We start from the raw sequence: 16,243 nt of genomic DNA on the forward strand, positions 1-16,243 counted from the left end.
TTATTCTACTATTGATTGATGACATTGTTTTTCTTCAGAACCACATCCTTGTGCTCTTTTGTTTGCCTTTATTGCACTGGCCAGATGTTAACAAGGAAATGGTTACAGGAAACATCCTTGTTTTCTTCTGATCCTATTTCAATATCAGACATGATATCTCTAGTTTTCTTGGTAGATAACCTTTATCAGATTTGAGTAAGTTTCCTTGTATTCTTAGTTTCTGGCAAGTTGTAATTATGCATCAGTCTTGAATTTTGTCAAATGAATATTCTGTATTTGTTGAGGTAATCCTTTGTTGATTTTGTCCCTCTGTTCTGTTTATGTGGTGAATTAAATAGCTTGATTTGTTTTGTGGTTTTCTTTTTTGCTTAACAGAAGTTTATCGTCTCAGAGTTCTGGAGGCAACACATTTGAAATCACGGTGTTGTCATTGCCATTCTCCCTCTGAGGGTGCTGAGGGAAGGATCTGTTCCAGGCCTCTCTCCTAGCTTCTGGTAGTTGCTTGGCTTGTGGTACCATAACTTCAATTGTCACATGGCATTCTCCCAGTGTGCATGTCTGTCTGTGTCCAGATTTTCCCCTTTTTATAAGGACACCAATTGTATTGGATTAGGGCTCACTTTAGTACCCTTATATTACCTTGATTACCACTGTAAAGGCCCTATCCGAATAAGGTCACATTCTGAGGTACTGGGGCTTAAGACTAATATCTTTCTGGGGATGTGGGGTGTGGGATGCTGCACAATTCAGTCAGTAACATCCTGGTACCAGACATTCAGTTTAGGCAAAACTCGTAATTGTACACTCTGCTGGGCATGAAATAAAGTCAGAATGCATCATGGCTTGTTCATGGTCAACACTGCTTGATTTTTGAATGTGAAATCAGCCTTGTATTTTTCTAAGCGAGCTTCACTTGGTCAGAATTCATTACCTTTTTAAGAAACCTACTTCTAAATAAGTCATAGATGAAAGAAGAAATCATGATGGAAATTAGAAAATATTTTAACAGAATAATGTAAATGACACATTAAAATGTGAGATGCAACTAAAGCAGCTCTTAGAGGGAAATTTATAGCTTTATATGCACACATTACAAAAGAAGAAAGATTGAAAATAACACTTAAGCTTGAATCTCAAGGAAAAGGATGACATGTTAAGCTCTTTCCAAGAAAAAGTAAGTGAAAAGAGATAATAAATATTAGAGTAAATAATTAAAACAAGAAAGCAGATATAAAACCAAGAAATATCAGCCAAGTAAAGGTTCATACTTTAATAAGTGAATAGAATTGATAAAACTGTAGCACAACTTACCAAAAAAAGAGAATACACACACACACACACACACACACACACACACACACACACACACAACCTTTGTATTTATTTTGAAATTTTTTTGTAGTGGCATTACTGAGATAAAACCACATATCTACTATTCACCCACTTAAAGTACAATTCAGTTATTTTTAGTATATTCACAGAGCTGTATAATCATCACCATAATCAATGTTAGAACATTTTCATAACCCTGTAAAGAAATCCTGTACCCTTTAGCAGCTACTCCTCATTTTCTCCAGAATCTTCCAACCCTAGGTAGTCACTGATTTACTTTCTGTCTCTAGATTTGCCTACTCTGGACATTTCATATAAATTGAATCATTCAGTATGTGGCCTTTTGTGACTGGCTTCTCTCACTCAGCATATTTTTAAGGTTTATGCATGTAGTAGCATGTTCAGTACTTCATTCCCCTTTGTGGTTGAATGATATTCTGTTGTAGGGGTATGGCACATTTTATTTATCCATTCATCAGTTATGGAACATTTAGGTTGTTTCCAGTTTTGGGCCATTATGAGTAGTGCCTCTATAGAGCATTTGTGTACAAGTTTTTGTGTGGACATATGTTTTCATTTCTCTTGGGAAATGAATGGAATGGAATCACTGGGTCATATGACAACTCTGTACTTCACATATTGTGGAACTGCCTGTTTTCCAAAGCAGCTGCACCTATTTGCAATCCCACTATCATTGTATGAAAGTTCCAGTTTTTTCACATCCTTGCCAACACTCATTATTCTCGTTGATTGTAGCCGTCCTGTCGTGTGTGCAGTGTTATTTCATTGTGGTTTTGACTTGCGTTTCCCTGATGTCTCATGATGTTTATTGCTTATGGACTTTTGGCTTAGGGGTCTCTTTCTGGAAATGTCTGTTCAAGTCCTTTGACCATTTTTAAATTGGGTGATTTATTATTGAATTATAGCAGTTCTTAGATATTCTAGATATAAAAGTCTGTATTCTATATAAATATATATTCTGTATTCTAGATATGAAATTCTAGATTCGAGATAAAAGTCTTATCAGGCATATGATTTGCAAATATTTTCTCCCATTGTTGTGAATTTTCTTTCTTGATGGTAATCTTTTGTTAATATGTTTATAGTTCTGCCAATCTAAGTATGCTTGGTTGCAAATGTAATCTTTCCTTACATGTTTCTTAATTCTTCCTCCTTTTTCCTTTATCTCTATACCTGTTATTTCCCTACTGTTGTTCTTACACTTTTATTTTTCTTTCTCATTTTCTTCAGGTACTTTTTTTTTTTTTTTTTTTTTTTTACTTTATCTACCTTTTTTTTGCTTAAACATCTCCATACTCTGTGAATTCCATATTGGAAAAAAAAACTTGTCCCTTTTCCCCCTAATACTTTCTAGTTGATTTTCTAGTAGACTATGGCCATTTTTGATTTTGTATTACACAGATGCAGTAAATATGATAATTAGTATACAACAAGCAGTAGGTTTTCTATGTCTTAAACATTACATGAAATGTGCTGCTTGCATCTCTTCTAAGATCAATTTGTATTAAGTCTACAATTAGGTGGCTTCTGTTTCAGTTATTAAACTCTCTTTCTCTTTTTTCTTAAAGATTCAGAATGGACAGTTTAGAAGAACCTCAGAAAAAAGTCTTTAAGGCTCGAAAAACGATGAGAGTGAGTGATCGTCAGCAACTTGAAGCAGTGTACAAGGTCAAAGAAGAACTGTTGAAAACTGATGTCAAGCTGTTAAATGGCAACCATGAAAATGGAGATTTGGACCCAACCTCACCTTTGGAAAACATGGATTACATTAAAGACAAGGAAGAGGTGAATGGCATTGAAGAGATTTGTTTTGATCCTGAAGGAAGTAAAGCAGAATGGAAGGAAACACCCTGTATCCTAAGTGTTAATGTAAAAAACAAGCAGGATGATGATTTAAATTGTGAACCTTTGTCTCCCCATAATATAACTCCAGAACCAGTCTCTAAACTGCCTGCTGAACCAGTTTCTGGTGATCCAGCCCCTGGTGATCTGGATGCCGGAGATCCAGCCTCCGGAGTACTGGCCTCTGGTGATTCCACCTCTGGTGATCCCACCTCTAGCGAGCCCTCCTCTAGTGATGCTGCCTCTGGTGATGCAACCTCTGGTGATGCCCCTTCTGGTGATGTGTCCCCTGGTGATGCCACCTCTGGTGATGCCACTGCTGATGATCTCTCCTCTGGTGATCCCACCTCTAGTGATCCCATCCCAGGTGAACCGGTCCCTGTTGAACCCATTTCTGGTGATTGTGCCGCTGATGATATAGCCTCTAGTGAAATAACTTCTGTTGATCTGGCTTCTGGAGCACCAGCTTCCACTGATCCAGCCTCTGATGATCTGGCCTCTGGTGATCTATCCTCTAGTGAACTGGCCTCTGATGATCTGGCCACTGGTGAACTGGCCTCTGATGAGCTGACTTCTGAATCAACCTTTGATCGTACCTTTGAACCAAAGTCTGTACCAGTTTGTGAACCAGTTCCTGAAATTGACAATATAGAACCAAGTAGCAATAAAGATGATGATTTTCTTGAAAAAAATGGAGCTGATGAAAAATTAGAGCAAATTCAGAGTAAAGACTCATTGGATGAGAAAAATAAAGCTGATAATAATATTGATGCTAATGAAGAAACTCTAGAAACAGATGATACAACTATTTGTTCAGATCGACCTCCTGAAAATGAAAAGAAGGTAGAGGAAGATATTATCACAGAGCTTGCTCTTGGAGAAGATGCTATATCTAGCAGTATGGAAATTGACCAAGGTGAAAAGAATGAAGATGAAACTTCTGCAGATCTTGTAGAAACGATTAATGAAAATGTTATTGAAGATAACAAAAGTGAGAATATCTTAGAAAATACAGACTCTATGGAGACAGATGAAATCATTCCTATTTTGGAAAAGCTTGCACCTTCTGAGGATGAACTTACTTGCTTTTCTAAAACATCTCTCCTTCCAATCGATGAGACAAATCCAGATTTGGAAGAGAAAATGGAAAGTTCTTTTGGTTCACCATCTAAACAAGAAAGTAGTGAGAGTTTGCCAAAAGAAGCCTTTCTGGTCCTCTCTGATGAAGAGGATATTTCGGGTGAAAAAGATGAGTCTGAAGTTATATCGCAAAATGAAACGTGCTCTCCAGGTTAGCATATAACTTAAATGTTAAAGATTTTTTATTGACTTTGATGAACTGTTTAATAAAACATTATCATAATGTTTTAAATTTATTTTAGCTGCAGAGAAAGTTGAGAATGGTGATGACTCTATAGAAAGATGTCTTAACTTCATAGAATTCAGAATTAGTGTGTGTACTCTGTGAGTAGCATTGTACTAAATACTAAGAAGGGAGATAAAATAAGTAGAAAATATGCCCTTATAGTCTGGAAATAGAGATGAAGTAGAGCACCATAACACTGAGATAACAGTTTAAGTTAGTACATAATTGACTAGAGTTGTAGCAGTTCTTTCTTGCTATCACTTAGCGAACAAATAACTTAGAACTAAAAGCCTAATAGTTTAATCTATTTGCTTCAAGTGTAACAAATTATATTTTCAATTAATATTCCCAATGAAATCCTGTTCTTTAATATTCTTTGTCCAGGAATGACAGCACCATTGTTGTAAGCCAGAAACCTTAAAGCTTGATTATCCATTTGATAAAGACTTTACCCATTTGCTCCCTCAGCCCTTTTGATTCTACCCAACCTATTCTCTTCCTCATTTTCTGAATGAGCTCCCTGTAACCCAATTCTCTTATTTGATATTGTCCGTCTATGTCTTAGATCTCTGTTACTTTTAGGTTGATTTCAAACTCCTTATGTAAAAGGTACATTAACTTTATGATTTGTTCAGTACCTATCTCTCCCATCTCTTTTATTTTATTTATTATTCCTAGAGAAAAAGAATGAGAAAAATTCTACCTTCTTTTATGGTCAAACTGAAAAACATTATTCCTCTATGAAACTTTCTAAGCCTGTGGAAGACTGAGAAAAGCATGAATACCTTTCTTTTCCCATTATATCACATTCTTTTAGATTTAGACATCTCTGAGAGAAGTGACCTTGCTAGCATAAAACACCATCTAATTTCTTCAAAGAAAAAAAAATGGAGGCAGGTCTAAGAGACAGAGACAACTTTTTTCCCCAATATATCATACCAGCTTTTGGAGGTAGAGATTTTTTTCTTATTAAAAAATGGCTTTTTTTTTTTTTTTGGCCAGGTAAGGTGGCTCACACCTATAATCCTAGGACTTTGGGAGGCTGAGGCAGGCAGATTGCTTGAGCTCAGGAGTTCGAGACCAGCCTGGGCAACATGGTGAGACCCCGTCTCTACAAAAGTACAAAAATTAGCCAGGCGTGGTGGCACTTGTCTGTAGTCCAGGGTACTTGAGGGCCTGAGGTAGGGGGATCACTTGAACCTGGGTGGTCGAGGCTGCAGTGAGCCGAGATCGCGCCACTACTCCAGCCTGGGTGACAAAGTAAGACCCTGCCTCAAAAAAAAAAAAAAAAAAAAAAAAAAAGGATGGCTTTTTATTTTCAAAGAGCATTCAACTAAACCTATATAAAGAGACAGGCCAGGCCCTTCTTGGTTCTAGAGATTTGAAGATAGTATTTGCCCTCAGGATACACACAAGAATTAAATCATAGGCCATTAAATACAAGACTGTGAGTACAGTGATAATGTTAAATTGGCATTCTGGGAGTGCAGATTAAGGTAACTTTATTAGAGCACCAGATGTATTAGGGATGTCTTGCCCCTTTTAATATCTGTATAACAGAGGTTTTTTTTGTTTGCTTGTTTTTGTTTTGTGAGACAGAGTCTTGCTCTGTTGCCCAGGCTGGAGTACAGTGGCACAATCATAGCTCACTGCAGCTTCCACTTTACTGGCTTAGGTGATCCTCCCACCTAAGCCCCCAGAGTACCTGGGAATACAGACATGTGCCACCACACTTGGCAAAATTTTAATTTTTTTGTAGAGACAGGGTCTTGCTATATTGGCTCTGCTGTAACATAGGGTTTTAATGAGTCTAATTCTTTTTTTTTTTTTCCGAGATGGAGTCTCGCTCTGTTGCCCCGGCTGGAGTGCAGTGGCACGATCTTGGCTCACTGCAACCTCCGCCTCCCGGGTTCAAGTGATTCTCCTCCCCACTCCGCCTCCTGCGTAGCTGGGATTATAGGTGCGCGACACCACGCCTGGCTAATTTTTGTATTTTTAGTAGAGTCGGGGTTTCATCATGTTGGTCAGGCTGGTCTCAAACTCCTGACCTCGTGATCCTCCTGCCTCAGCCTCCCAAAGTGCTGGGATTACAAGCGTGAGCCACCGCGTCTGGCCAAGTCTAATTCCTTTTAATGGCAGCTCCATCCTACTTGCTGAGGCCAGAAACTTTGGAACCATTTTTATTTTTTCTTTCACACCCCATAATTAGTCCATCAGGAAATTCTGTTGGTACTACTATCATAATAGATCTAGAGTCCAATTCACAACTGTTATTACTCCTGCTGCGAGTCACCATCATCAGGCCAAAACGGTGCCTGGCACACAGTAAGTGCCCAGTAAATATTTGTAAAGTGAATGAATAATCAATAATGTAAGAGAAGCATATCATGGAGGACCTTGGTTATAATGCTAAAGCTTTATGATGGCGCTGGAATGCCAATAAAGAACTTCAAGCAGAGAGGAGAATGAAATTTACATTTTGGAAAGGTAATAGGTGACAGTGTTGAGAATGAATTTCATCCATTTCCTATAAGTGTCTATACAGAGTGTGGCACTAGGCCAAGTCCATAAAAAAGCCTTATAAGTCCTTTAAAAAAAAAAAGTCTGTATAAGAAAGTTAAAAAAGCAAATTGCAGCTTATGATTTAATGAGTACCTTTATGTCAGAATCTTGATATTGGAGGGCATCCCACACAAGGCAGTTAAGTGCTGAGAGATGAATATTAAGCCATCCATGTTGCATACTTTGAAAATTCAAAGTTGGGAATATTTTTGGTTACTTGCCTTTAATCTGATGGTATGCTATTAGCAGGGTAAATTTAGTGATAGATTTAATTTCTTGGCTCATAACTAAACTTTTATTTTGTATCTTTTCCCCTTCCTCTGAAGGTAATTTTGTGTATTTTGAGTTTAAGAATAGTTTCTTAATTGGTTCTTAAACTGTACTCTGTTCTCTTTATATGGCGACAGAATCTGTTGCATGTCATTTATGTTGCTGTACTCCTGTTGAAATGTTACTTAAATAAATGCCTTTATTCTTGACTAATTTTTAATATACTCAGAACACAGAATTATTAGCTGAAGTACTAAAGTTGGCTTCAGTACTGGCTCTTCCTTCTAGCTACTAACATCTATGAGTGTAGTAAAAGGAAAATAGCATAACCTTCTGTCATTTCAGGCACTTGTTGAGCAAATATGTTTTAAATAAAGCAATTGTGATGTGTATCAGCAGCAACAAGAAATAATGAAAGATAAAGCAAATAGAAAAGCTATTTTAATTTTACAAAAGTAGAAGAAAGAACTAAAAAAGTGTTGCATATATACCTTAATAGGTCTAGAGACATTACTGAATTGTGACATAGTATTATGTTATAACTAATACTCACTAATTATTAAAATGATAATCTGTTTAAAGAGGATAGCAAAATAAAGATTTATCTCTCTGGGAAAGTTCAAACACTAGAGGAGCTTCATCGCCATACCATATACTTTCCTCTAACTACTATTTCATCTCTTTCCTTTCTTTTAGTGCCATTCTTCAAGTTATATTAACAAAGCTAGGACCATTTCTTCTTCTGTTAGGCCTTCCACTTAATTGGATTTTGATTTCTGCCTTGGTAGCTGCCGCCCTCCTAATTTTTCTCAGTGAAATGACATTGATGATCATGTTATTAAATCCGGGGACATCTTTTCTTTGTCTTATCTATTCTTCCATACTTGGATGACCTCTTAATAACAGTTCTTCCCTCTTGAGACTCCCCTTAGCTGTTGGGTTACTGCATTCTCCATCTTCCCTTCTTTTTTGGCCTTTCTCATTCTATTTCTTGTGGAAAAATAGGGATAGGCCTCCTCCACGTGCTTTTTTTTCTTAAACATAAGATTTTTGAAGAGAAAAATCTGTTTTAGAGTGAACTAGATTTTTTTTGCATTAAACACTGACATAGTTTCCTTGCAGATTTTATTTCAGATTAAAATAAAAATCTGTGGTTGATATTTTCCTCCCCTTGTTCATTGGATCTTTAAGGTAAATAAAATAAACATAAACTGATGCTAATGAGGATAATTACATTAGACTAGAATTTGAGACTTCCTTCTATTTTTGCTGTAGGTTAGTATTGATAGAATTGGCATGATTTAGTCAATTTACTGTTAATTTGTTGTCACTGTTTATTGTGTTCAGTTAAAATTCTTTATCATCTCAATCCATTTATATTTAGCTGTTACTTATGTACTTGGCTTCTCTTTGTGGAGCTTCTTAGTTCTATTCACTAGTGTGCAAGTTGCAGATTTTTCTTTTCAGAGTTGAGGAAGACCAAAGATGAAGTAGATTTTGGAAGGAGGTGTATAGGAGGAAGATCATTTTTCAAATGAGTACTGTTGTCCAAGTTAGATGTGTAAGTCTGGATTTCAGATCAGAGACTTGACTTGTATTAGAAAAATATAGTAGGTAGCATGTAGCTATTAGGTGACAAGATGAAATCACCTCAGAGTAAGTATACATGGAGAAAAGATCCAAGAATTGTGCTTTTGGCATTTCAGTGTTTAGGGTTGGGGAGATAAGGAAGAACCAACAAAGGAGCTGAGAAAGAGCAGCCCCTGAGGTAGGAAGAAAATGGAGAGATTTTGGTGTTTCAGAGATTTTGGTGTTTCAGAAGCCAAGTAAAAACACTGTTTTGAGGAGGGAATAAGGTAACCGTTTACTATATCAAATGCTGCTGTGTGTGCTCATAAGATGGAAGAGAAGTATTTAACAATCTGGAGATCATTGGTGACTTTTACCAAGGGGCAGTTTTGGTGAATGGTGGAGTGGAAAACCTGATTTGGGTTTCAGAGAGAATGGGAGGGGAAGAATTGGAGATAATACAATGGGACTTTCCCCGCTAGGTTTTGCTTTTAAAGAGAGCACAAAAATTCACATAGGAGATATTATTTGCCATTCTGTATTGGTTAAATAAAACTAATACAAAATGTCTGGAAAAGTCACATTACCAGTCATGCCTTATTTTTCTGATAGATCTTGTTAGGTTGAGAATCTTTATATGTTTATTGGCCTTTTATAGTTCCTTATCTGTGAATTGCCTGTTCATCTCCTTTGCCCATTTTTCTAATGGATATTGTCTTTAATTTGTCTGTAGGAATTTCTTGTTTTGTTACAAATATTTTCATGGAGCCAGTAATCTAAATCAGTGAATGGGGTAGACTGGCCTGTGAGCCCTGTTTTTGTAAATAAAGTTTTATTTACATAAACATAGCTATGGTAATTTGTTTACATGTCACATAGCACTTATTGCACTTATTTGTTTACATGTCACATAGCACTTATTGCTGATTCCTGCAACAAGGACAGAATTAAGAGGTTGTGTCAGACAGAGGTCATGTGGCCCACAAGATTGAAAATATCTATTTTTTGGCCGCTTACAAAAAAGATTTGCCAATCTCTTATCTAAGGCAATGGTTTTTGTCCTCCATTTTTCCTTAGAATAAAGTTCTATAAAGTATAATTCTGAAATGGGAAACTAAGTCCCCTAATGTAAATTCTATTTTGTAATCCTTTAAAAACACAGTTTTCTACCTTTACTTAATGGAACCTTATTAAAGATAGTAGTCATCTGATAGTATTAAACATGTAATTTGTCTCAGCTATTTCTCAAAGTGTTTGGGATTACCAAAATTATGAGATCTGGTATCTGCCCTTAATGAGCTTACTGTCTAGTCTGCTTGAAAGGAAAGAATATGGAACTATGAAAACTTGCCAAATTGTGATAAGGCTATAGCCTTATCCTCAAGAAAATCAAAGGAATTATAACAGAAACTTATCTGTAAGTAAGGACAGATTCTAAAAAAAACATTCTTTTTTTTTTTTTTGAGATGGCGTCTCGCTCTGTCACCCAGGCTGGAGTGCAGTGGTGCGATATCGGCTCACTGCAAGCTCCGCCTCCCGGGTTCAAGCGACTCTCCTGTCTCAGCCTCCCGAGTAGCTGGGACTACAGGCATGTACCACTACATACAGCTAATTTTTTATATTTTTAGTAGAGACAGGGTTTCACCATGTTAGCCAGGATGGTCTCGATCTCCTGACCTTGTGATCCGCCCGCCTCGGCCTCCCAAAGTGCTGGGATTATAGGTGTGAGCCACCACACCCGGCAGTAAAAAAGACATTGTTAACCTACTATTTGGATGAGTTTCAGGAGTCCCAGGAACTACCTGAAATTATGTCTAAAGTTGTCTGTGTACCAAGGGCCTTTGATTATTACTCTGGGTTGAAGGAGACCCATTCTTAGTTTTTCTTCAGGCTTTGTGGACAAAATAAAATTAAAGAAATATAAGGCCCTACCCGTCTCTGTAGAATTTGTTAATACCATTTTTTAAATCCCAAGTTCTTTCCGTTACAAAAAACTCTAGCAACTCTATTTTAATTCTGTGAATTCTGAGTGTTTTAAGTGTTGGGGATCCAGTAATATCTTCTAAGCATATCTGGAAACTGGGAGTTGGGTGATAGGAGGAGGTTTTTGAATAAAATGAAGAAATCTCAAGCTGAGCTTGACATATGGAGAGGAAACTAACATGCGTATAAAAGAGGCAAACCATAGCAGGCCAGTTTATTCTGCTGTGTTCTGGATGCTCTGGCTTGGAGTCACTCTAATTGGAGCCATGGCTAATTTTGTGCTTTGTGCGATGTGAGGATTTGCTAAATAAAGACTATGTAAACCTTTCATCTCAAGCATCCCAGTTACTCTGTCTCTCTGGAAACTCTGGGGACTAGGAAGCTCAGGAGTTACTAACAATGAGTATTAAAATCAGAAAGATATGGAAAAATATAGAAAGAAAAATGTATTTTAATGAGTTTGTGATCTGTTTACAAGAAAGCAAACAAATTTTTATTTCACTGAAACTGAGGTTGAGAGATGAGGTCTTAAAACACTTAAAATGAGCAAAGGGTAGTAAATGGAGAGTTAATTTTCAAATAATTTATTTTAAAGTTCAAAAATAGTTTTAGTAATTCTGTGTACTGTGTTAGCTTATTGTTTATCTTACAGTGAAAAAAATACTTCTAGCGCCTTAATAGGTATTCATCAATGATCCTTGTCCTTGCCTATTTTCACCTAAAATATCTTTTAAATTTTTTTAACCTTGACTTTTGCTATTAGGGCTGTTGTGATTAAAATCCTGATGATTGGAGAAGAAATGTCTTATCAGAATCTTTATATAGCATAATATACTTTATGATTGTTTATTTAATATTAGTTGCAGAACGTGATGAAACATAGCATGCTTTATTGAAGCCACTGAGAAGCAAGTTGCAATGACGTAAGGGGGAAAATAGAAGTCAAACATCTTAATGAATTTTTTTTTGTAGCTCCCTTATTCCTCATTTAATGAGTAGGTTAGTTGAAGAGACATTGATTGATTGACCAAAAGAACGTTTTGGTACCTCTTGGATTTTATTTAATATAATTGTATAGACATTTTTAGCAATATCTTTTGGCAGCACTCTTCAGTTGTTACATTTTATATGACTCATGCAAATTAACCCTTCTGGGCCAGTCGAGGTGGCTCACGCCTGTAATCCCAGCACTTTGGGAAGCTGAGGTGGGAGGATCACCTGAGGTCAGGAGTTTGAGACCAGTCTGCCCAACATGGTGAAATCCTGTCTCTACTAAAAATAAAAAAAATTTAGGCCCAGTGCAGTGGCTTATGCCTGTAATCTCAGCACTTTGGGAGGCTGAGGGGGGTGGATCACGAGGTCAAGAGATGAAGATCATCCTGGCCAACATGGTGAAACCCTGTCTCTACTAAAAATACAAAAATTAGCTGGGCCTGGTGGCAGGTGCCTGTAGTCCCAGCTACCTGGGAGGCTGAGGCAGGAGAATTGCTTGAACCTGGGAAGTGGAGGTTGCAGTGAGCCGAGATTGCGCTACTGTACACTAGCCTGGCGACAGAGTGAGACTCTATCTCAAAAACAAACAAACAAATTAGCCGGATGTAGTGGCGGGTGCCTGTAATCCCAGCTACTCAGGAGGCTAAGGCAGGAGAATCACTTGAACCCGGGAGGCGGAGGTTGCAGTGAGACGAGATCGCCCCACTGCACTCCAGCCTGGGCGACAAGAGCGAAACTCAGTCTCAAAAAAAAAAAAGAAAAGAAAATTAACCCTTCTGAATGTTTTCCTCATCTATATGATGACAAAAAATACAGTTTACAGTGTGAGATTATATTGTGGCCATGTGATAACTATATTAAGCACCTAGCTCAGTTGTTGGCACTGTTATCAAAGTAGGTATATATTTAAAGTTTTTATTATATTTGGGATAGCCTTTCCATTCCTTATTTATGAACTCTCTATACCATAAGCATTAAAGTAACTTAAGGATTCAACCTGTTTTGAATTTTCCAGTAGTTTGGAATTTTTTTGATAATTGTCACAGGCACTATTTTAGTTTTAATTATTGAATGTAAAGGAATCAAAATGCTCTACAGCAGTTGTTTTCACATTTTATTAATGTTACTGGTGACAGAAAATTATTAAGTAATTTTTTTAAATTACTTAAAATCTATATTAAGATTAAATCCTGTGTTGAGTTTGTTCTGAATTGCAGAACAGTTGAATGTGGACGTGGTCATTCATTCGATCAGTTCCTGCTCCCCTTTTCCCCTCCCCAAATTTTACATTTTGGGACTCTGATTTCATAAAAGGTTGGTTTTGTAACTGGATAGTGACTAAAAATGTAAATTAGTGAGCTGTTATGAATTCTAGTAGAAGTAAGATTTTCTTTTCTATATTTGTTAACAGCAGAAGTAGAAAGTAATGAAAAGGACAACAAACCTGAGGAAGAAGAGCAAGTAATACATGAAGATGATGAAAGACCTTCTGAGAAAAGTATGCATGTATAAACAAACTTGAACTGGATTGAAAAATAATAATTCACTGTTTCTATATTTACAACCGTGTAATATTCTTTTTTGCCCATGAAATAATTGTAAAATTTTGCAATTTCACAACTATACCATTTTGTTGATGGCTAACTGAAGGATTTCTGAAAGTATGTTTCATACACTTCAATATTTTATTTTGTTTATTTATACTTTTTATTGTTCCACAGAAAGATTTAGCTTAAAATTTACTAAGTTACTGAGTGTTTTGAGATAAATTGTTTTAGATTTATGTTTAGAGAATGAAACTACAAGAATTTTGTATGGGCTAACGTAAGTGAATGGAAGGATGTATTTTAGTTCACTTAAGGTTCTTCATCTTCATGGGGCCAGATGTAGTGGCTCACCCCTGTAATGCCAGCACTTTGGGAGGCCAAGATGGAAGGATTGCTTGAGGCCAGTAATGCAAGACCAGCCTGGGTGACATAGCAAGAACCTGTCTCTACAGAAAAAATATTTGAATTAGCCAGGCATGGTGGCACACACCTGTAGTCCCAGCTACTTTGGAGGCTGCAGTGGTAGTATTGCTTGAGTCCAAGAATTTGAGGTTCCAGTGAGCAATGATTGAGCCACTGTACTCCAGCCTGGGTGACAGAGTGACACCTTGAGAGAGAGAGAGAGAAGGAGGGAGGGAGGGAGACAGGAAGGAAGGAAGAGGGAAGGAAGGAAGGAAGGAAAAGGGAAGGAAAGATAAGGTTCTTTAGCTTTATGGGAAGGGAAGGAAATGATGGACTGAGTGTCCTTAGGTTTATGGAAAGATCATTGGACTAGAAGTCAGGAAAGCTGGGTTCAGTAACTTTCCTGTCATGCTGCTATCCATATATGACCATGGGTAAGTTAAGATTGTAAGAGAAATTGTAGAATAGAGTGGATTTACAAGTAGGCATATAGATACAGACACATACAGAGGGATAGGCATGGTCACATAAGAGCATTTGCGTTTAAAAAGTGTGAAGATATTAGTGTTTTAATTTTTTTAGATATTGAAGAAGCCAGATACAAATTTGCTTATGATCTCATGAATATTAACAGCACGTGAAACAGATTTTCTAAGTGAAGTCTTCTAGTCTATATTCTTTATAAATGTACTTTTAATGACATTAATTTTATTTTTATTTGAAATTCATTAGGATATGTTAAGAATAACTATTACTGTGCTAGTTTTGTAAGGCTGATGATTAAGAATTTTTTCCTATACTTACGGAGGAAAAAGAATAAATAATTAAAGCTGTGCATAGTTAAAAATCTGACATGAGAATGAATACTATATTTTGTCAGAGGATTCATGTGCACTGTGACATTTAGTTACAGGAATGAATATGAGATGATTTCATCTACCTTCTTCATGACACAATTGTGAGGCAGTTCTTAGTATGAAGATTTCAAGGAAATTCTGTGTTCACAGTGTGCATTGCTTGACCATTAGGGAGTTCTTATTTAGTATATTGAAAGTCATTTGAAGTTTAAAGCTAAAAGCTATATACCTTCTAAGATCTCCAAAACAGTTTACAAAATAGTTGGTTGAGAAGGCTATTATGATAGAAATAATATTTTGCTAAGGATGGATAATATGCATTAAGAGCTATAAGAAAAACACCTGAGTGTGATCATTGTGGTTTTCCTTCTCAGATGAATTTTCTAGACGAAAACGTTCTAAATCAGAAGACATGGACAATGTACAGTCTAAACGTCGTCGATATATGGAAGAAGAATATGAGGCAGAATTTCAAGTAAAGATTACAGCCAAAGGAGACATTAACCAGAAACTTCAAAAGGTATTGTGTCAATTATAAGTTATAAACCATATTGAATAAATAGCACCACTATCTTCTTCTAGGTTTCTGACATTATTCTGTATTTTATTGACATAATGTGGTTTATCATAGAAAGAAAGAACTTGAAGAAAGTGGTTGAGCTTTTAAAGTCTATTACTGGCCAGATGTGGTGGATCACCCCTGTAATCCCAATCCTTTGGGAGGCTGAGGTGGATGGATCACCTGAAGTCAGGAGTTCAAGACCAGCCTGACCAACATGGTGAAACTCTGACTCTACTAAAAATACAAAAATTAGCTGGATGTTGTGGTGGGTGCCTGTAATCCCAGCTACCTGGGAGGCTGAGGCAGGAGAATCACTTGAACCCGGGAGGTGGAGGTGGCAGTGAGCCGAGATCATGCCACTTCACTCCAGCCTGGGTGACAGAGCAAGACTCCATCTCAAAAAAATAATAAATAAATAAATAAATAAGTCTATTACTATCCTTGATAATTTAATTTTAAAATTCTTTCTGACTTCTTTTTGGCTACATCTTTTTTTTTTTTTAAAAAAGGTTATGATTATCAAAACAAGGGAGAGAAGGTAACATTTTTATTTATTTGCTTTGGTAACAAAACTGAATGTTGTTTTTCAGCTTTTCTTTTTCCTTCTCACATTGAACTTTATCTTATTGTGAAAAGGAAATGTTAGAGTTTTAAATATTAGCATTTTAATCTTTATAAAGCTGGTTTCATGGTTATAAGTCTACATTCTAAACTCTTTATTGTGTACTTGAGGGTTAGTATAAAAGTGGTAGAGACAGGGTGTTAAAAGGACTAGAGAAAGGAGTATTTAGAATACGGAGTTTGAAATTCCCCTTACATCTGTTTGACTAGAGATAGAAATAATGAAAATATTCAGTATTTTATGTTTTTCAACATGTGTTCACAAATGTTTTTACAAAGCTTTTCTTAGAGAGGAATATTAAACTTCGATGATAAC

General features: G+C 36.5%; 1 protein-coding gene across 15 annotated transcripts in view; it reads left to right on the forward strand.

The window, feature by feature from the left end:
• ATF7IP (activating transcription factor 7 interacting protein) overlaps nucleotides 1-16,243 on the forward strand; it is a 137,249-nt gene that overhangs the window by 55,306 nt on the left and 65,700 nt on the right. For 10 of the 15 annotated variants that reach the window (NR_170893.1, NM_018179.5, NM_181352.2 and 7 more), the window contains exons 2-4: nucleotides 2,922-4,486; nucleotides 13,350-13,436; nucleotides 15,119-15,264. Coding sequence is in view for 14 of the 15 variants with exons in the window: in NM_181352.2 (NP_851997.1) it covers nucleotides 2,922-4,486; nucleotides 13,350-13,436; nucleotides 15,119-15,264 (1,798 nt within the window). In the remaining variant the exon portion in view is untranslated. The remainder of the gene's footprint in view (nucleotides 1-2,921; nucleotides 4,487-13,349; nucleotides 13,437-15,118; nucleotides 15,265-16,243) is intronic. The other 5 variants (NM_001286514.2, NM_001286515.2, NM_001388179.1 and 2 more) reach the window with 1 other exon arrangement.

Source organism: Homo sapiens, chromosome 12 (assembly GCF_000001405.40).
Source record: "Homo sapiens chromosome 12, GRCh38.p14 Primary Assembly".
NCBI lineage: Eukaryota > Metazoa > Chordata > Mammalia > Primates > Hominidae > Homo > Homo sapiens.